At 42.6% G+C, this 22,850-nt stretch overlaps 1 protein-coding gene across 5 annotated transcripts in view; it reads right to left on the bottom strand.

Annotated features, from left to right (window-relative positions):
* PGCKA1 (PDCD10 and GCKIII kinases associated 1) overlaps positions 1-22,850 on the bottom strand; it is a 140,256-nt gene that overhangs the window by 8,057 nt on the left and 109,349 nt on the right. The window contains exon 1 of one of the 5 annotated variants that reach the window (NM_018302.3): positions 1,066-1,221. The exons of the other annotated variants lie outside the window; for them this stretch is intronic. The gene's annotated coding sequence lies outside the window, so the exon portion shown is untranslated. Of the gene's footprint in view, positions 1-1,065; positions 1,222-22,850 lie in introns of those variants that run through there. 5 annotated transcript variants of the gene reach the window in all.

The following is a 22,850-nucleotide window of genomic DNA, read 5'->3' as shown; positions in this document are numbered from 1 at the left end:
CCCCTCCCCTCCCTCAATACCTCTCCTCTACCCTCCCCTCCCTCAACACCTCTCCTCTCCCCTCCCCTCCCTCAACACCTCTCCTCTCCCCTCCCCTCCCTCAACACCTCTCCTCTCCCCTCCTCTCCCTCAACACCTCTGATCTCCCCTCCTCTCCCTCAACACCTCTCCTCTCCCCTCCCCTCCCTCAATACCTCTCCTCTCCCCTCCCCTCCCTCAATACCTCTCCTCTCCCCTCCCCTCCCTCAATACCTCTCCTCCACCCTCCCCTCTCCTCTCCCCTCCTCTCCCCTCCCCTCCTGACCCTCCCCCTCCACAATTCGCTCTGAAATCCTGACCCTTTTCATGCCTGCAATACTTTGTTTATCCTGGACTCTTTAAAAGCAAACCAACCAACAAACAACAACAACTAGTCAGGAGGATAGGTAGTAAAAAAAAAAAAAAAAACAAGTCAAAGAAAAGGAGAAAAGAGCTTAGAACTGTTTGAGAAACAAGGAAGGCAGACTGGATTGTAATAATGTAACTGAAGCAATCATAAAACATTACTCATTGAAACATCTCAGGTCAACTTTATGATGGTGAATTCAAGAGGTGTACAGGGGAAGGCGAAAGAAAGGAGGAAAGAAAAGAGGGAGGAAAGGCGAAGGAGGGCAAGAAGGCGAGGAAAAGCAGGCAGGCACATCCAGAGTGACACCTTGCACTCCCAGCTCCTCGGAGGCTGACCAAGATTGACCCTGGGGCACCCTCCATCCCCGCCTTCTGCTGCTATAGCCAAGACCACAGGAGCAGCCTGCACCGAATGAAGTGAGTGCTGAGATTTAACAGCCGTACTCGAAAACTGCCCCTTCCCTGCTTCTGAAGGAAATATACATCATTTGCGGCTTTTAGGCTCCCCTCCTTCCCCAGGAAAACCACAGGATCTATACTGTTCTTCCAAGCTGCACAATTACAAAGGATGTTGTGGTGGTTTTCCTCTTTCAGAATCAGGTTTCCAGTTTGGGTCCTCCCCGGCTTGCCTCCCATTAGGGCACACCACATGGGTTTCCTATAGACCTGGTCCCATACCTGAGGGTCATGCTTCCGCGCCTCTCCGGAGCTTGGCGGGGACAGCCTCTTCCTGGTTAGAGGTTCTGTCCTCTCTCACCTCGCCCTGAGTTTTCCTTCCCCAGCAACATTCCTTCTCTAGATCAGACGGACAGGCTCTAATGTCCAAGGTTGTGTGACTGCTGACGAAAAGGGTGGGGACTAATGTACTCACACCCAACCCCTGCATGCCTGTGTCTACAATTATTCTTCCTTATATGATGTGTCATATCAAATTTAATTCATTTCTTTTTTCATATGTCACTCCCACTTCTACATCTTGCATTTAGCAAGGACTTCTCCTAAGCCCAGGGGCAACAAGGAAATGCTCCGGGTCTAGCATGTGACACACAGCAATGAAAAAAATATGCTCTTTTGACGTAAGATTGGGTTCAAAATGAGCAGTCTATCAGCTGTCTTCCTTGCCTCCCTTTTGGCAACAGCTAGCTTAAAGGTAAGAATTCAGTTGTTGGGTACCCTTTATTACTGAGCAAAATCAAAATTTGCTTCCTCTTTGGAGCATAAAAAAGCAACAGGCAACAAAGGGAAAATCCTTCACAACCACTTCTTAGTTTACACAGGGGAAAAACAAACACCATTAGGATGGCTGTGTCCACCCAATGCTGCTGCCGCCTGCTTCTGCAGCCCTGTGTTGGGGGCTGACTCTGTTTTGTGTTTAAACAAGGCCAGGCTATCACGAGGTCAGGAGATCGAGACCATCCTGGCTAATACGGTGAAACCCCGTCTCCACTAAAAATAAAAAAAAATTAGCTGGGCGTGGTGGTGGGCGCCTGTAGTCCCAGCTACTCGGGAGGCTGAGGCAGGAGAATGGCGTGAACCTGGGAGGCGGAGCTTGCAGTGAGCCGAGATCGCACCACTGCACTCCAGCCTGGGCGACAGAGCGAGATTCCGTCTCAAAAAAAAAAAAACAAAAACAAAAACAAACAAACAATAAAAAAAGAAGGCCATGCTAATGCCATGTCAGTCATTGGTGAAGCCTCCTTGCTGGGAGGGTAGCAATGGAGGTAGGGGAAGGGCGAAGTCCAGGGAAGCCCAGGAGTTCTCCAGCCAGGCAGAGAAATTAACTGAGTATTCATTAGGAAGTCAAGGGCATATAGGAAAAGACTCAACCCATCTGGAAGCTGCCTTTAAATAGTGATAGCTTTGAAGAATGACAGGGACATTTTAAAAGGACACAGGAATCCACTTGTAGAAGTTTTACTGGCCAAATGTGGAACAACTGGAATATTAAAATAATTACTAATCTACAGCATTTGTAGCCAATTGAATAAAACAAGGACTTATGAGTCCACACTAAGATACATAAAGGGAAAGGGAACACTCTACCTTACAAGTAGGAAACCAGCTAACAAACATACGAGAAATACTGGAACTAGAAAAATCATTTGATAGCCATCATAATAATAGAAAAACCATTTGATAGCCATCATAATAATAATTGATGTCAGTAAGAAGTATCAATGGATGGTAGGACTAGTGGGTGAAATTTTGAGGAGGACAGGATATTTAGTCTTAAAGTAGCTCCCCCCCATATGATTAAGGACAAAATATTATCCTTACGTTGGAGAAACCCGGCATACAGCGCCTTAACCAAGTAATCAAAGGTAATAGTGCCATAATGAGACTAATCAATGGCATGTGGCTCCTGATAGGATGCACTGAGAACTTAGCCTCACTTCTGTGATTTCCTGACAAAAGAGCATACTCTGAGTTGAAACAACGAGGGATAGTCTGCAAAGCAACTGGCCTGTACTCTTAAAATAATGTAATGTTATGAAAAAGCAAAGAAAGACAGAAGAATGCTTCCAAATTCAAGGAGATTTAAGAGACATGACAGCCGATGCACTGCATGTCCTTCTTGCTAAAAGGTCGTTATTGACATAATTGGTAAAATCTGAATAAGGTCTGTAGATTAGGTAATCGTATTAAATTGATGTGAATTACCTGCTTTTGAACATTGTACTGGGGTTATATAAGAGAATGCTCTTGGGGAAGGGCAGAACAAGATGGCCAGATAGAAGCCTCCACTGATGTTCACTTCATTGCCCCACAGGAACACCAAATTTAACAACTATCATCTACACCAACAAGCACCTTTATAAGAACCAAAAATCAGGTACACAATCAGTGTACCTGGTTTTAACTTCATATTGCTGAAAGAGGCACTAAAGAGGGTAGTAGGAAAGACAATCTTGAACTGCCGCTGCCCATTCCTTGGCAGTGGCTGCATGTCGTGGAGAGAGCATCTGTGTGTTTGGGGGAGGGAGAGTACAGTGATTTGGGGACTTTGCGTTTGAACTCAGTGCTGCCCTATCAGAGCAGAAAGCAAAACCAGGCTGAAATCAGCTAAGCCACGACCCCCCAGCCTACCCACACACAGAGGGAGCATTTGGACCAGATCTAGCCAGAGGGAAATTATATATTCCAGTTGTTGGAACTTGAGTTTTGGCAAGCCGCACCACCATGGACTAAAGTGCTCTGCAATCCTAATACACTTGAAGGGTAGCCTAGGCCACAAGAACTGTGGTTCCTAGGCAAGATATCAGTACTGTGCTGGGGCCAGAGCCAGTGGACCTGGGGGGGCACCTGATCTACTGAGACACCAGAGTGGCTAAGGGAGAACCTGTGTCACGTGTCCCAAAACCCAGGCAGCACAGCTCACAGCAATGAAAGTGACCCCTTCCTTGTGCTTGAGGAAAAGACAGGGAAGAGTAAAGAGGACTTTGTCTTACACCATAGGATACCAGCTCAGCCACATTAGCATAGGGCACCAGGCAGAGTCATGAGGCCCCCATTCCAGGCCCCAGCTCCTAGATGACATTTATAGACACACCCTGGGCCAGAAGGGACTGCACTTCCTTGAAAGGAAGGACCAAGTCCTGGCAAGACCCATCACCTGCTGAGTGGAGAGCCCTTGGGCCCTGAATAACCAGCAGGAATACCCAGGTAGTACGCTATGGGCCTTGGGTGAGACTCTGAGATGTGCTGGTTTCAGGTGAGACCCAGCACATTCCTAGCTGTGGTGGCTATGGGGAGAGACTACTTCTACTTGAGAAAAGCAGAGGGAAAAGTAAAGTGGACTTTGTCTTGCACTTTAGGTACCAGCTCAGCCACAGTGGGGTAGAGCACCAAGCGAGCTCTTGGAGTCCCTAATTCAAGGCCTTGGCTCTTGGATGGCATTTCTGGATTTGCACTTGACCACAGGCAAGTCCACTGCCCTGAAGGATGTGTCCTAGGCCTGGCAGAACTTACTATAAACTGTCTGAGGAGCCCTTGGGCCTTAAGTGAACATCGGCAGTAGCCTGGCAATACTCTCTGTGGGCCTGTGGTAGTAATGGTGATAGGAAGAGGATCCTTTGCCTGGGAAAAGGGGAGGGAAGAATGGAAATGGCCTTGTCTTATGGTTTGAGTGACAGCTCAGCCCCAGTAGAATAGAGCACCAGGTAGATCTCTAAGGATTTTGACTTCAGTCCCTAGCTCCCACTTAGGGCCTGGGGTATCTTGTCACCCTGAAGGGAAGGACACAAGCCTGGCTGGCTTTGCACCTGTTGATTGTAGAGCCTTAGGGCCTTGAGCAAACATTGGAGCTAGCTAGCTAGTGGTTACAGAGGGCCCTGGGTAAGATCCAGTGCTGTGTTGGCTTCAGGTCTGACCCAGCACAGTCCTAGTGATCATGGCCACAAGGGTGCTTGTGTCACCCTATCCCCAGCTTCAGGTGGCTCAGTACAGAGAGAGAAACTTTTGTTTGGGGAACAAGAGTCTGCCCGGTAATCCAGTGAACTCTTTCAGATCTTATCCAAGACCACCAAGGTGATACCTCTATGAGTCTGCAAGAACCATAGCATTACTGGGCTTGGGGTGCCTCTAATGTAGATATGGCTCAGATCACAACACACAAGTCCCTTCGAATACCTGAAAAGCCTTCCCAAGAACAGGTACAAACAAGCCCAAACTGGAAAGACTATGAGGAATACCTAATTGTTCAATGCCCAGACACCAGTGAGCATCCACAAACATGAAGACCATCCAAAAAAAAAAAAAAAATGACCTCACCGAAAGAACTAACTAAAGCTCCAGGGACCAATCCTAGAGAAACAGAGATATATGACTTTTCTGACAGAAAACTTAAAATAGCTGTATTGAGGAAACTCAAAGAAATTCAAGATACCACAGAGAAGGAATTCAAAATTCTATCAGATAAATTTAACAAAGAGATTGAAACAAAATAATCAAGCAGAAATTCTGGAGTTGAAAAATACAAGTGACATACTGAAGAATGCATCAGAGTCTCTTAACAGCAGAATTAATCAAACAGAATAAAGAATTAGTGACCTTGAAGACATGCTATTTAAAAATATATTCAGAGGACACAGAAGAAAAAAAGAATAAAAAACAATGATGCACACCTACAAGATCTAGAAAATAGCCTCAAAAGGGCAAATCTAAGAGTTATTGGCCATAAGGAGAAGTAGAAAAATAGGGGTAGAAAGCTTATTCAAAGAGATAATAACAGAGAACTTCCCAAACCTAGAGAAATATATCAATATCCAAGCACAAGAAGGTTACAGAACACCAAGCAGATTTAACCCAAAGAAGACTACCTCAAGGCAATTAGTAATCAAACTCCCAAAGGTCAAGGATAAAGAAAGGATCCTGAAAGCAGCAGAGAAAAGAAACAAATAACATACAATGAAGCTCCAATACATCTGGCAGCAGACTTTTCAGTGGAAATCTTACAGTCCAGGAGAGATATGACATGTCAGTGGCATAACATATTTAAAGTGCTGAAGGAAAATAACTTTTACACTGGAATAGTGTTTGTGGCAAAAATAGTCTTCAAACATGAAGAAGTAAACTTTCCTAGACAAACAGAAGCTGAGAGATTTCATCAACACCAGTTCTATCTTACAAGAAATGCTAAAGGGAGTACTTCAATCAGAAAGAAAGGGATGTTAATGAGCAATGAGAAATAATCTAAAGGTACAAAACTCACTGGTAATCATAAGCAAACAGATAAACACAGAATATTATAACATTGTAACTGTGGTATGTAAATGTCTCTTGAATAGAAAGACTAAAAGATGAACCAATCATAAATAATAACAAAAATTTTTCAAGACATAGACTGTACGATAATATGTAAATAGATACAACAAAAAGTTAAAAAGTGAGGGGATGAAGTTAGAATCTTTGTTTTTTTGTTTTTGGTTTTTTTTCTTGTTGGTTTGTTTATGCAAGCAATGCTAAGTTGTTATCAAATTAAAATAATGGTTATTTATTTATTTATGTTTTGAGACGGAGTTTTGCTCTGTTGCCCAGGCTGGAGTGCAATGGCGCAATCTCGGCTCACTGCAACCTCCGCCTCCCAGGTTCAAGCAATTCTCCTGCCTCAGCCTCCCGAATAGCTGGGATTACAGGTGTGCACCACCATGCCTCGCTAATTTTTTTTGTATTTAGTAGAGATGGGGTTTCACCATGTTGGTCAGGCTGGTCTCAAACTCCTGACTTCAGGTGATCCACCTGCCTCTGTCTCCCAGAGAGCTAGGATTACAGGCCACCGCACCAGGCCAGAATAATGGGTTTTAGGATAGTATTTGCAGGCCTCATGGCAACTTCAAATTAAAAAAACATACAATGAATACAGAAAAGTATTAAAATCAAGAAATTAAATTATATCACCAGAGAATATCACCTACATTAGAAGGAAGACAGAAAAGAAGAAATGAAGGAAAGGAAGACCACAAAACAACCAGAAAACAAATAAAATGGCAGGAGTAAGTCCTTACTTATTAATCATAACATCAAATGTAAACGGACTAAGCTGTCTACTCAAAAGACATAGAGTGGCTGAATAGATTTTTCAAAAGACCTAATGATCTGTTGCCTATTAGAAACACATTTCACCTATAAAGACACACATAGACTGAAAATAAAGACATAGAAAAAGATGCTCCATGCCAATGGAAACCAAAAAAGGGCAGGAATAACTATACTTATGTCAGACAAAATAGATTTCAAGACAAAACCTTTAAGATGAGACAAAGAAGGTCATTACATAATGATGAAGGGTTCAATTCAGCAAGAGGATATAACAATTGTAAATATATATGCGCCCAACACTGGAGCATTCAGATATATAAAGCAAATATTACTGGAGCGAAAGAGAGGGATAGACCCCAATACAACAATAGCTGGAGACTTCAACACCCCACTTTCAGCATTGGACAGATCTTCCACACAGAATATCAGCAAAGAAACATTGCACTTAACTGTACTGTAGATCAAACGGACCTAATAGATATTTACACAACATTTCATCCAACTGCTGTAGAATGTACATTCTTTTCCTCAGCACATGGACTATTCTCAAGGATAGACCATATGTTAGGTCACAAAACAAGTCTTAAAACATTCAAAAAAATTGAAATGATATCAAACATCTTCTCTGACCACAATGGAGTAAAACTAGAAATCAATACCAAGAGGAATTTTGGAAATGATATGAACATATGGAAATTCAACAATAAGCTCTTAAATAAACACTGGGTCAATGAAGAGATTCAGAAGGAAACTGAAAAAAATTCTTGAAACACATGATCATGGAAACACGAGACCAAAATCTATGGGATCCAGCAAAAGCAGTACTTAGAGGGAAGTTTATCCCTATACAGGCCTACATAAACAAAGAAAAACTTGGAATAAATAACCTAAAATGCACTTTAAAGAACTAGAGAAGCAACAGTAAACCAAACCCAGAAGAAAAGAAATAATAAAGATCACAGCAGAAATGAAGTTGAAATGAAGAAAACAATACAAAAGATCAACAAAAGATTGGTTTTTTTTGAAAAGATAACAAAACTGGCAAACCTTTAGCCAGACTAAGAAAAAAGAGAGAAGATCCAAATAAATAAAATCAGATGAAAAGGAAGACATTACGACTGATACTGCAGAAATTCAATAAATCATTAGTGGCTACTATGAACAATTATATGTCAATAAACTGGAAAATCTAGAAAACAGGGATAAATTACTAGACACATACCACCTATCAAGATTGAAGATGAAGAAATCCAAAATTTGAACTGACCAATAACAAGATCAAAGTTGTAATAAAGTCTCCCAGCAAAGAAAAACTTGGGACCTGACAGCTTCACTGCTGAATTCTACCAAATATTTAAAGAAGAACTAATACCAATCCTACTCAAACTCTTCTCAAAAATAGAGGAGGAGGGAATATTTTCAAACTCATTCTATGAGGCTAGTATTACCCTGATACCAAAACCAGACAAAGACACATCAAAAAAAAGAAAACTACAGGCCAATATCCCTGATGAGTGTCAATGCAAAAATCCTAAATAAAATACTAGCAAACCAAATTCAACAACACATTAAAAAGATCATTCATTATGACCAAGTTGACCAAGTGGGATTTATCCCAGGGATGGAAGGATGGTTCAACATATGCAAATCAATGTGATATATCATATCAACAGAATGAAGAGCAAAAACCATATGATCATTTCAACTGATGCTGAAAAGGCATTTGATAAAGTTCAACATCCCTTCATAAAAACCCTAAAAACACTGGGTATAGTAGGGAACATACCTCGACATAATAAAAGCCATATATGACAGATCCATAGCTAGTATCATACTGAATGGGGAAAAACTGAAAGCCTTTTCTCTAAATCTAAAACATGATAAGGATGCCCATTTTCATCACAGTTATCCAACATAGTACTAGAAGTCCTAGCTAGAGCAATCAGACAACATAAAGAAATAAGGGGCATGCAAATTGGAAAGGAAGAAGTCAAATTACCTTTGTCTGCTGATGAGACAACCTTATATTTGGGGAAATCTAAAGACTCCACCAAAGAACTATTAGAACTGATAAGCAAATTAAGTAAAGTCACAGGATACAAAATCAACATACAAAAACCTGTAGCATTTCTATATGCCAAGAGTGAACAATCCAAAAAAGAAATCAAGAAAAAAATCACATTTCTAATAGATACAAATAAAATTAAATACCTAGCAATTAACCAAAAAAGTGAAAGATCTCTACTATGAAGACTATAAAATGTTGGTGAAAGAAATTAAAAAGGACACAAAAATTAGAAAGATATTTCATGATTATGGATTGGAAGAATCAATATCGTTAAAATGTCCATACTACCCAACGCAATCTGTAGATCCCATGCAATCTCTATCAACATTTCTTCACAGAAATAGAAAAAACAATTCTAAAATGTATGTGGAACCACAAAAGACTCAGACTAGCCAAAGCCATCCTGAGCGAAAAAAACAAAATGGAAGAATCACATTACCTGACTTTAAATTACACTACAGAGATATAGTAATCGGTACAGCATGGTTTTGGCATAAAAACATAGACATATAGACCAATAGAAGACAGAAGTCAGAAACAAATCAATACACTTATAGTGTTCTCATTTTCAACAAAGGAACCAAGAACATACACTGGGGAAAGGACAGTTTCCTCAGTAAATGGTGCTGGGAAAACTAGATATTCATATGCAGAAGAATGAAACTGGATCCCTCTCTCTTGCTGTATATAAAAATCAAGTCAAAATGGATTAAAGACATAAATCTAAGACCTCACACTATGAAACTACTACAAGAAGACAAGGGAAAGTCTCCAGGACATTGGACTGATTAAAGATTTATTGAGTAATACCCAAGAAACAAAGGCACCCAAAGCAACAATGGACAACAAAGATCACATCAAGTTAAAAAGCTTCTGCACAGCAAAGAAAACAATCAACGGAGTGAAGAGACAACCCACAGAATGGGAGAGAACATTTGCAAACTATCCATCTGACAAGAGATTAATAACCAAAATATGTAAGGAGCTTAAACAACTCTACAGGAAAAAAAAAATCTAAGAATCCAATTAAAAATGGGCAAAATATCTGAATAGATATTTCTCAAAAGAAGACATACAAATGGCAAACAGTATAGGAAAAGGTGCTCAACATCAATGATCATCAGAGAAATGCACATCAAAACTACAATGAGATATCATTTCAACCCTGTTAGAATGGCTTTTATCCAAAAGATGCGCAACAACAAATACTGGTGAGGATGTGGAGAAGAGAACTCTCATACACAGTTGGTGGGAATGTAAATTAGTACAACCACTATGGAGAATAGTTTTGAGGTTTCTCAGAAACTAAAAACAGAGCTACCATATGATCCAGCAATCCCATTGCTGAGTATATATCCATGAGAAAGGAAATCACTGTATTGAAGAGATACCTGCACTCCCATGTTTATTGCAGCACTATTGACAATAGCCAAGATTTGGAAGCAACAGAAGAATGAATAAAGAAAATGTGGTATAGAGTTCTCACAATGGAGAACTATTCAGCCATGAAAAAGAATGAGCTCCTTTACTTTGCAACAACATGGATAGAACAGGAGGTTGTTATGTTAAGTGAAATAAGCCAGGCACAGAAAGACAAATTTCTCATGTTCTCACTTATCTGTGGGAGCCAAAAATTAAAACAATTGAACTTCAGGAGATAGAGAGTAGATAGATGGTTACCAGAAGCTGTTAAGGATAGTTGGGGGTGGGGGTGAAAGAGAAGTGGGGATGGCTAATGGGGGCAAAGCAAAAGTTACAAAGAAAGAATAAGGCCTGGTATTTGATAGCTTAACAGGTGACTACAGTCAATAAGTATTTAATTGTACATTTAAAAATAATTAAAGAATATCACTTGTTTGTTTATAACACAAAGGATAAATGCTTGAGGCAATGTGTATCCCATTTACCTGGATATGATTATTATGCATTGCAAGCCTGTATCAAAATATTTCACATACCCCATAAATATATATACCATGTACCCACAAAAATTAAAAATAATTTTAAAAACTTAAAATAAAAATAAATGAAGTAAAATCTGCTTGAAAAATAAAAATTTCACTCTTAACATTGGCTTTAATGTGAAATGGGTTGGAATTATTCAAGAGACCAACTTAAAAAAAGAACCGTGTGGACCTGAACAAGTAGTATATGAAAGGGAAAGCCTTATATGTGAAAATATGTTCAACTTGATTAACAATCAAAGGTATGCTAAACAAAACATACATGTTTTTGCTTATCTAACTAGAAATGAGTTTTTTCTTTTTTTTTTTTGAGATGGAGTCTTGCTCTGTCACCCAGGCTGGAGTATAGTGGCATGATCTTGGCTCACTGCTACCTCCGCCTCCCAGGTTCAAGCGATTCTCCTGTCTCAGCCTCCTGAGTAGCTGGGATTACAGGCACGTGCCACCACACCCAGCAAATTTTTGTGTTTTTAGTAGAGATGGGGTTTCACCATCTTGGCCAGGCTGGTCTTGAACTCCTGACCTCGTGATCCACCCACCTTGGCCTCCCAAGGTGCTGGAATTATAGGCATGAGCCACTGCACCCAGATAAAAATGAGTTGTTAAAATGTATACTTGATGTCAGTGTAGGATGTAGGGAAATCTGCTAGTCATTTACTACTGGTAGGAGATGTTGAAAGCAAATTTGAGAATCTGTATTAACAGTGGAAACTATGCATAATCTCTGACTCAGCAATTCTACTTGTGACCCTAAGGATAAAATTAGTAGTATGCAAGAAGATTTCATAATAGTGAAAACTTGAAAAATAAATAACAATAAGGTAGCTCTTAAATATGGTATCTTTACTCAACAGAATACCCTGCAGCCATTAACAAGGTGCTGGAGAAAGAGGTTTGCATATGTGCAAAAAAGCCAGTTACAAAATGACTTGTATAATATAATCACAGTTTTGTGGAAATCTACACACCTGGAAAAGAATTGAGAGAGAAGGGTTAACAGTGGTTATCTCAGAGTGGGGTGGAGTAGACACAAGGCTAGCAGGATGGCATGCAGCTGAGAGTCAGGGGATGGGACAGACTTGGATGCATATCCTGATTCTGCCACTGTGGGAACTGCAGCAACTTGCTCACAGAGTCCTTGTCTGTAAAATGGGGATAATGCTTCTTCTTAGGGTTTGTGAAAGGATGACTAGAGATGATGTTGATAAAATACATAGCACAATATCTGGTACAAATGACTACTAACTGATAGATTTGTAGATTTTTAAATCTGCAATTACCAATTTTCTACAATGAACACATTACTTTTGTAATGAAAGTCATTTCAAAAAATGCAAACACGTACAGAATTCTCATTAATGATATACATGCTTAAGTGAAAGCAGAGAAGGGAAATACATGAGGTCCACAACTTACTTTGAAATGCAGCAAAATATAAGATGGATTGGTGGTGGGTATACAGAAATTTACTACAAAATTCTTTCAACTTTGCTATATGTTTGAAAATACAATACAATGTTGGGAAGAAGGCAGAAAAAAAGAGAATGCCCTTGTTTTTAGGAAATACACAGTAAAGTAAAAGTTGAGCATCTGAAATCCAAAAATCCAAAATCCAAAATGCTCCCATTTCTGAAACTTTTGGAGCACCTACATGATACCACACTTGACTTCATGTGACAGGCCACAGTGAAAACGAAGTAAAAATTTTGTTTCATGCACAAATTATTAAAAATATAAAATTATCTTCAGGTATGTGTAAAAGGTATATATGAAACATTTGAATGTCATATTTAGACTCAGTTCCCATTCCTAAGATATTTCATGATATACATGCAAATATTCCAAAATTTTAAAAAAATCCAAACTCTAAAACATTTCTGTTCTCAAGCATTTTGGATAGAGGATAATCAAACTGATTTGAGAGCTAAAGGACCATGGTTTATATAACTGCTTAAAATGATTCAGAAAAAAAATTGTGTGTATATAAAGACAGAGAGAACAACAAAGCAAATGTGGTAGATGTTCATGTTTAGGGACTCTGGGTAGAGGATTTATGGGGATTCTTTGCATTTTTCTTGCAACTTTTCTGTTAGTCTGAAATAATGTCAAAATAAAATGTTCTAAAAAGGTGTGGCCGGGCACGTTGGCTCACGCCTGTAATCCCAGCACTTTGGGAGGCCGAGGCGGGCGGATCACGAGGTCAGGAGATCGAGACCATCCCGGCTAAAACGGTGAAACCCCATCTCTACTAAAAAAAAATACAAAAAATTAGCCGGGCGTAGTGGCGGGCGCCTGTAGTCCCAGCTACTTGGGAGGCTGAGGCAGGAGAATGGCGTGAACCCGGGAGGCGGAGCTTGCAGTGAGCCGAGATCCCGCCACTGCACTCCAGCCTGGGCGACAGAGCGAGACTCCGTCTCAAAAAAAAAAAAAAAAAGAAAAAAAAAAAAAAGGTGTGAAGTTAAAAACAAACGTGTGAATCTAAGGTCAGTTCTTACTCTGCCTGTCACAACCTGGGCTGGGACTTGACACCTCCAGGAAATCCATGTTATTAAGATATTCCCTATATGGCTGTGTGTGGCGGCTCACGTCAGTAATCCCAGCACTTTGGGAGGCCGAGGTGGGAGGATCGCTTGAGGTCAGAAGTTCGAGACCAGTCTGGCCAACATGGTGAAACCCTGTTTCTACTAAAAATACAAAATTTGGGAGGCTGAGGCGGGCAGATCACGAGGTCAGGAGATCGAGACCATCCTGGCTAACACGGTGAAACCCCGTCTCTACTAAAAATACAAAAAATTAGCCAGGCGTGGTGGCGGGCATTTGTAGTCCCAGCTACTTGGGAGGCTGAGGCAGGAGAATGGTGTGAACCTGGGAGGTGGAGCTTGCAGTGAGCTGAGATCACGCCATTGCACTCCAGCCTGGGCGACAGAGCGAGACTCTGTCTCAAAAAATAAAAATAAAAATACAAAAATTAGCTGGGCACGGTGGCAGGCACCTGTAATCCCAGCCACTCGGGAGGGTGAGGCAGGAGAATCGTTTGAACCCGGGAGGTGGAGGTTGCAGTGAGCCAAGATCGTGCCACTGCACTCCAGCCTGGATGATAGAGTGAGGTCTGTCTCAAAAAAAAAAAAAAAAAAAAAAAAAAGGATAATAGTCTCTATAAATTAGACCATGGAGAGAGATCTTGGAAGGCAGCTCATCAAAAGTCTACCAACCTACACATCATCCTGTGTATATACTGAAGACCATATATAGTCCCAGGATGAGAACTCTAGAGGCAAATAAAGGGTATGGTTCCTGTCTTCAGGCTGTTGTTGCATCTTAGAGGGGGACTTTGGTGCTTGTTGGCTGTCTGCCTTCCCTACTACACATGAGCTCCCCACAGGCAATGCCTAATCCAACCAGCATCTAGCTTGTATGGGGCACTTCATTCTTACTATTTAAATGAAGGAATGGCGCTGAATGACACGTGGGAATGAAGGCATGATGGGTATGAGATATGATAAACTATTCTAACAGAGGGTCTATACCCTTTTCCACAATCAAATCTCATACTACCCAGTGGTCCAAACTACAAGCCGGAGGCAGGAGCTCGGAGAAATGGGAGAGACTGTTGTTCCCCCTTCCCATCTTGGGAGACAGCAAAACCTCTATTATGCAATTCCAAGGGTCAAGGACGTCCGGCTCCAAGGGTTCTATTCAACAAACTTTTAAAGTGGCTGCTGGGAGGTGGTTTGCGTTTATAGAAGTTGGAGTATTTGGAAGGGAGGAGATACAATAGAATGGAACATGTAAATTTCCAACAATTTGCTAATGTTTAGAAAACACAGCTTGAGATTTCACATAACCTGGCCAGAAGGCGAAGTAGACAAATATTTAGTGAGCCGCTACTAGGGACTGAGGTCCTGACCCAAGAAGAATGAATAAAAATAACTACCAGGAGCTGTGCTGCCTTTATAGAAGAAACTAGAGACTGCTTGCCCAACATTATAGACAGTAATGAATCTATAGTTGAAAAAGGACTAGAAGATAAACTCTTTGACAGCTCAATCTTTTTTTTTTTTTTTTTTTGGCAGAAACATTTCCTACTCTTTTGGGCAGTCTTTGAAAACTCACGGGACAAATTTTTCTGATGTGTTTACTTTTCTCCTACAGAGGCTAAGCTTCTGTTATTTTAGAGAACTTGAAAGATTATATGCAGACAGCCGGGCGCGGTGGCTCATGCCTGTAATCCCAGCACTTTGGGAGGCCGAGGTCGGCGGCTCAAAAGGTCAGGAGATCGAGACCATCCTGGCTAACACGGTGAAACTCTGTCTCTACTAAAAATACAAAAAAAAAAAAAAAAAAAAAAAAATTAGCCAGGCGTGGTGGCGGGCGCCTGTAGTCCCAGCTACTCGGGAGGCTGAGGCAGGAGAATGGCGTGAACCTGGGAGGCGGAGCTTGCAGTGAGCCGAGATGGCGCCACTGTACTCCAGCCGGGGCGACAGAGCGAGACTCCGTCTCAAAAAAAAAAAAAAAAAAGGATTATATGCAGACTTTTGTTATCAGCACCATCAAATAGTCCATTTCATGCATTCTCAATAGCCAGTGTGCTGGGATAGAAGTGTTAGCATGGTCTAGCGCTGGCTTTGACGGGATATTTGTGTGCAGGGAAGTGCTCATGGGTTTTCTCCCTGGAAAAGGCTCCCTGGTCAAAACAGGTTTGGGAACAACAGAAATTAAAGATGAAGAAATTCATGGTTATGAGAAGGAACTGTTTCACTCTGTTTAACCCGATTATTTCCCTACATTATTGGGCTACAGAACTTTTTTTCTCATAACAAACTTATTAACAACCAACAGATCTCATGTTTTGTAGAATACTTCTGAAAAATCTGCTATCAAAATGACAGTCCTAATTATCACTGGAGTTTTACTCCTCAAACTAATTAAGCTATATGGTGTTTGGGTGAACTTAGCCAGGCAAAGTCTGTGCCCAGGTATAAGAAATCCACCTCCTCGGGGCCGGGCGTGGTGGCTCACACCTGTAACCCCAGCGCTTTGGGAGGCCGAAGCAGGCAGATCACCTGAAGTCAGGAGTTCAAGACCAGCCTGGCTAACATGGTGAAACCCCATCTCTACTGAAAATACAAAAAATTAGCTGGGCGTGGTGGCAGGTGCTTGTAATCTCAGCTACTCAAGAGGCTGAGGCAGGAGAATTGCTTGAACCTGGGAGGCGGAGGTTGCAGTGAGCCGAGATCTTGCCATTGCACTCCAGCCTGGGCAACAAGAGCAAAACTCCATCTCAAAATAAAATAAAATAAAATAAAAATAAAGAAATTCACTTCTTACCTCCTAGCCATAACGCCATCACCAATGGCATGGACATGGTGAAGTTGTTTAATCTCTCCCCCCCTTTTTTTTTGAGACAGGGTCTCACTCTGTCACCCAGGCTGGAGCACAGTGGCATCATCTCGGCTCACTGCAACCTCTGCCTCCCAGGCTCAAGCAATCCTCCCACCTCAGCCTCCTGAGTAGCTGCAACTACATGCACACGCCACCGTGTCCAGCTATTTTTATTTATTAATTTTTTTGGTAGAGATGGGATTTTGTCTTGTTGCCCAGGCTGTAATCTCTTGAGTCCTCAGTTTCTTTATCTGCAAAACGAGTTTGTGAATCAAAGCTCTCTTTGAAATTTAACAATCTAAACGATAAAGTGGGAAAAAAGGGGAACTTCAACTCATTGACTTGATTTCCTTGTTGTTATCACATCAAATCCTGAGAATTATGCTGAAGGCATGCTTCAGTACTTCCGTGCTGCACGTGGGGCACCACGCCCAGTGGTTTGTGAACTAGCTCTTCGCAATACTGCCCTCTGGGTCCTACGTCCACACTCACCCCAGGCCATGATCTTGACTGAATGATAAAAGGCCAAGTTCTCTGTCTTATTCCCTGAACTCTGCAGCTCTTTTGGAAATGCCTCTTCAGCCTCTGCCAGGAGGAACTGTGAGATTGGGACAGAATGTGTGTAACAGCAAAGTCCCTGAGAGGGACGAGGCTCTCAGACCAGGGAGACTCCTGATGGAGAAAGTGACCCCCCTTCTCCACTGGGAATGGGCTGAGAGGTGCATGCTGCCAGGCAGGAGGGCAGAGTGGTTTTCAGAGCACTGGTGGCAACCCTGGGCCTCCTGGTGTTCCTGCATTTTAAAGAAAACTATGTAAAAAAATAAGTTCCCAGGAGCCAAAGAAATCAGCCTCTGAGGGTAGAATGTCTGGGTTGAAATTGGTGTTTCTCAGTGACAGGTGGCCCTGAACCCTCTGGAATCATACCACTAGAAGGGCTGCCTCTCTAGCCTTTACCAAGGCTGGCCTTGCCGGCCCTGTGCACCTGAGAGGTGCTTCCACTGTAGGAATGCTGAGGAACAGGCCAGGGCCTGGTCCTAGGACTTTCTTGCTGCTGGGTTCACAGGATCTTTGATATCCATGTTGAATGTGGAAACACATTCAATGTGGTTTTTTTTGTTGTTATTACAACATAGTGATGATGTCACTCCTTTTGTCCCTCCTGTAGTCTTTACGATAGCATATCACAGACATTTTCATAGATTGAAAAACATTTCATGTGGCCCTTTATTCAAGATCTGATACTATTTTTTCCCCCCATCTAGTAATTAGCCTGCTATCCTTAAGACAGGTGTGTGACGAATGCTCACAGCTGTGTGCAACATCGCTGACTTCACGATGGCTCCACTGGGTCTTGGTATGCACCAGGCACTGTGCTAGGTTCTGGGGATATGATGGCACCCGGGTGCTCCCTGGGAGAGCGTATAGTCGTGTGTGTGTGTGTGAGAGAGAAAGAGAGAGAGAGAGATTGATTCTGGTGAAGCCGGATGGCATTTAGACGAACATTCAGGAAGATTGATCACACCACACCAGCAGTTCAGCAGAGTGGTTAAGCGAGTGACTTAGGATCAGAGTAGTCAGCAATTCCACCTCCACTGCTTACTAGCTTTGTGACTTCTAGCCAAGTTTCTTCCCCTCCGTGAGTTTCAGTGGCCTAATCTGCAACACGCGAATGATGATAGTTACAGTTTATGAGGATTGTTTTGAACACTAAGATAAGTATGCATAGCGCTTGCTATAATGTCTGGCATACAGCCAGTACTTAATCACAATAAGCAGTTAGCCACTGAGTGTTTTCTATGTGCCAAGGACTGTTTTGGGGACTTTCATCTTTCATGTATTAACTCATTTCAACTTTAAAACAACCCTTTAAGGTGGGAACCAGTATTTTATAGATAACTAAATGGGAGGTTATATAACTTGCTTGCCCAAGGTTGTAAAAGTTGAAAGTAGGATAGTGAAGGTATTATTAATGTTGTTATTGTTTTTATTACTATAATATTTCTGGCATCCATCCTAGTAAGTTTATTTTATTTTATTTTATTTTATTTTTTTTTGTCCGCTGGATTATGCAAGAAGCAGTTTGTGCTCCAATAGCTTTTGCAAGAGAGAACTGGATTCTCTAGATTTGGGCTGAATTTTATAGGTGCAGTTGCATCAATTCACCAGCAGATGGCAGGATATAGCGGTTATTTTACTCATCTCAAGAGAAGGACTTGGTACAAGAAAGGCCTCAGGACCAGGCGCGGTGGCTCACACCTGTAATCCCAGCACTTTGGGAGGCCAAGGTGGGCGGATCACTTGAGGTCAGGAGTTCTAGAGCAGCCTGACCCAACATGGTGGAACCCTATCTCTACTAAAAATACAAATATTAGCTGGGTGTGGTGGTGCACCTGTAGTCCAACTACTTGGGAGGCTGAGGCAGGAGAATCACTTGAACCCAGGAGGCAGAGGTTGCAGTGAGCCAAGATTGTGCCATTGCACTCCAGCCTGGCCAATGGAGCAAGGCTCTGTCTCAAAAAATAAAATAAAAAGCCTCAGAAACAAGAATTTTGGGTGCCTATAAGCCCAGCACTTTGGGAGGCCGATATGGGTGGGTCACTTGAGGTCGGGAGTTCGAGACCAGCCTGGCCAACATGGTGAAACCTTATCTCTTCTGAAAATGCAAAAATTAGCCAGGTGTGGTGATGTGCGCCTGTAATCGCAGCTACTCAGGAAGCTGAGGTGGGAGAATTACTTGAACCCGGGAGGTGGAGGTGGCAGTGAGCCAAGATCAGGCCACTGCACTCCAGCCTGGGTGATGGAGTAAGACTGTGTCTCAAAAAGCAAAAAAAAATAAAATAAAAAAAAAAGAACAAAAAAAGAAACAAAAATTATGGCCCAAGTAGTGTAGGTGTTGTGCTATGCGGCAAGGTTATGAAGTAGGTGATGTGGTATTTTAGATGGTTACTGTATTAGTCAGGGTTCTCCAGAGGGACAGAACTAACAGGATAGACATATATGTAAAGGGGAGGTAATATTAAGTGTTAACTCACACAATCACAAGGTCCCACAATAGCTCATCTGCAAGCTGAGGAGCAAGGAGAGCCAGTCCGAGTCCCAAAACTGAAGAACGTGGAGTCCGATGTTTGAGGCAGGAAGTGTCCAGCACGGGAGAAGGATGTAGGCTGGGAGGCTAGGCTAGTCTCACCTTTTGACGTTTTTCTGCCTGCTTTATATTCGCTGGGAGCTGATTAAATGGTGCCTACCCAGATTAAGGGTGGGTCTGCCTTCCCCAGCCCACTGACTCAAATGTTAATCTCCTTTGGCAGCACCCTCACAGACACACCCAGGACCAACACTTTGCATCCTTCAATCCCATCAAGTTGACACTCAATATTAACCATCACAGTTACTGTCACCTTTAAGCCTGATGAGACCAGGGCTTCCTCTAGCACTGGCTAGACATTGGGTTTATTCTGGTCTGGCCAAGCAATGGTGGGGTCAAAAGGCTCCTGAAATTCTACAGAGGCCTCTTCACACAATCACTGCACATCAGAACTCCATCTGGGTTGGTCTCTGCCCACTGTACATTTGGACAATAACTCTGTGGAAGAGCCTGGGGGAGGAAGGTGTCTGTGGAGTCAAGGGGGTCCTGTTCCTTCCCCCAGATTAGACCCGGTGCTGCTCCTCCTCCATGGCTGACCTTGCACTTCTCCCAGATCCAGAGGCTGCCCGTGTTGTGAGCCAATCTCAGAGCCCCCCCTTCTACATGAGGATACATGGCCATGAGCTGGGAGGGAAAGGTAAGCCACAAAATAAATATGGCCCCATGCGAAGGTTTTGGGGGGAGAAGCCCATTATTTGTTATATAAAATTAACTCAGAATATCATGGGTGAAAAGGCAACATTTGTGTGAATGACTAGAATGAAACGGAAGGCACACAGAGATGTCAAGTTCTGCCAGTAGCTTGTGGTCATCCTCTCCACACTCCCCAGCCTCCCAGATCCTCCTGTACCCTCGTGGGGACAGTTTAAGGGAAAAGTTTGAGAAGCTATGTCCCTATTCTCTGGACTGTAAATTCCTGGAAGTAGGCTCCTGTTTGGAGCAGACAAGATGTAGTTTGTTAATGAATAAAGACTAGTGTGTGTGTCTGTGTGTGTGTGTGTACGTGTGTGTGTGTACGGGGTGGAATCTTGTAGACAGATAGGAGCACAGGGCACTGGGTCATGAGGAATCCACCTGGCTCTGAGTGGGGCCTGACAGCCTGTGTTTCTAACAAGCTCAGCATCAATCATTACTAAAGGATCTGCTGAAAAATGTCAGACACCGGGCTGGGCACAGTGGCTCGCACCTTTAATCCCAGCACTTTGGGAGGCCGAGGCAGGTGGATCACCTGAGGTCAGGAGTTCGAGACCAGCCTGGCCAACTTGGTGAAACCCCATCTCTACTAAAAATACAAAAAATAGCTGGTCATGGTGGCAGACACCTGTAATCTCAGCTACTTGGGAGGCTGAGGCAGGAGAATCACTTGAATCCAAGAGGCGGAGGTTACAGTGAGCCAAGATCGCGCCACTGCACTGCAGCCTGGGCAGTAAGAGTGAGACTCCATCTCAAAAAAAATAAATAAATAAAAAAGTCAGACACCCCTGGCATCAGTGCATGGTAACTTTCATTTTTATGGCTGCATTACCAGAAGTACTGGTCAGGGTCCTATGAGGATCACATGACTTAAGCATGTGACAGGGCTGGCAATATGTGTCTTGCAAATAGTAGGTGCTTAGGAAATGTTGGCCGTTTGCATGTTCATGGCAATTGTCTGCGAGAATATTCGGTTTTTTTTCTTTCTTTTTTTTTTTTTTTTGAGACAGAGTCTCACTCTTGTCACCCAGGCTGGAGTGCAGTGGTGCCATCTTGGCTCACTGCAACCTCCGACTCCCGGGTCCAAGTGATTCTCCTGCCTCAGCCTCCTGAATAGCTGGGATTACAGGTGCCTGCCACCACGCCCAGCTAATTTTTTGTATTTTTAGTAGAGACAGGGTTTCACTATGTTGGCCAGGCGGGTCTCGACCTCCTGATCTCCGGTGATCCACCCGTCCCAGCCTCCCAAAACGCTGGGATTACAGAGGTGAGCCACTGTCCCTGGCTGAGAATATTCTTTAACCATTGGGTGCTAGTTCCATTTAGACACTGTGTAGAAATGGGCAATGTTTTGACCAAATCTTCCCTGGAACCACATGGGAACTGGGCCGTGTCTCCATGACAGGGAATGTCTCTGATTTTGCTAAGTAGCTGTATCTGGGAGATGGCAGACATCTGGAAGAAACTTGAAGCATTTGGACAAAATTAAGTTCTAAAAATGCTGAGGAAGTTTTAGAGGTGGCCATGTGGAGAGGAGTTTATATAATATAGTCTGGTAAGGCTACAAATAGATTTTAAAGGAAGCACAGCTCAGGGCCACCTGCTTGGAATAAACTAGTTCAGGGTAATTCCCAGAGTCTTACAGTACCCGCTGTGGACTGAATTGTGTCTTCCCCCAAATTCACATGTTGAAACCCTAACTCATTGTGAGTGTAATTAGAGATAGGGCTTTCTGGAGGTAATTAAGGTTAAATGAGGTCATCAGGGTGGGGTCCTAACATAAGAGGATTGGTGGCCTTAAGAGGAGAGAGAGCACTCCCTCCTGAGCAACCTCGGGAAGATTAGAAAAGGCTTGTGAGCGAAAGCGAATGGTGCTGGTGGGTCCAGAGCACACTGAGGAGAGGGCACGTGAGGACACAGTGAGAAGGCGGCATCTGCAAGCTGGAAAGAGCTCTCCCGGGAATCGAATTTGCCGACTTCTTGATCTTGGACCTCCCGGCCTCCAGGACTCTGAGAAAATAAATTTCTTTTGTTTAAGCCACCCAGTCTAGAGTATTTTGTTATGGTAGCCTTAGCAGAGTGATATAGGGCTCTGATTTGAAAGAATCTTAGAAGTTATCCCACCCAACTATTTTATTTTATAAATGTTTTTCCGGACTCAAGACTGGAAGCAAGAACTGGTCGGAAGACAAGAAAAAACCTACAATTTGTCCCCTAATTGTAGATGAACCTACGTGTGCAGAGTTGGAACCCAATATTCCTTTAAAGTACAGTAAAAATAGGTTTTGCACTTGGAAAGACTGAGCACGGTTTAGAGGCCTTAAACACCCCCCTACTAGGGGTAAGACACTCTGCTAATTGCTAAGACACTAAGAGGTAGAAGATCTCTGCTGTTTGTTAAATGACTCACCAACCATTCAGGCAACAGATATTTCCTGAGCACCTATTATGTGCCAAGTACCGAACTTGATTCCAGGGATGTAGAAAGAGTTTACTGTCCAGGAAAGGAGACAAGTATATAGATACATGACTAATATAGTGTCATAAGTACTAGATTCAAATATGTCATATAATATGCTATATAGGACAAGGAGCTCCGGAGTAACCGTAGGAAGATTAGAAAAGGCTTGTGGGCAAAGGTGGGCAGACAGTGGTTCTGGTAGATTTCCAGAGC

Source organism: Homo sapiens, chromosome 4 (assembly GCF_000001405.40).
Source record: "Homo sapiens chromosome 4, GRCh38.p14 Primary Assembly".
NCBI classification, from domain to species: domain Eukaryota; kingdom Metazoa; phylum Chordata; class Mammalia; order Primates; family Hominidae; genus Homo; species Homo sapiens.
This window is presented reverse-complemented; position numbering and strand designations above follow the sequence as displayed.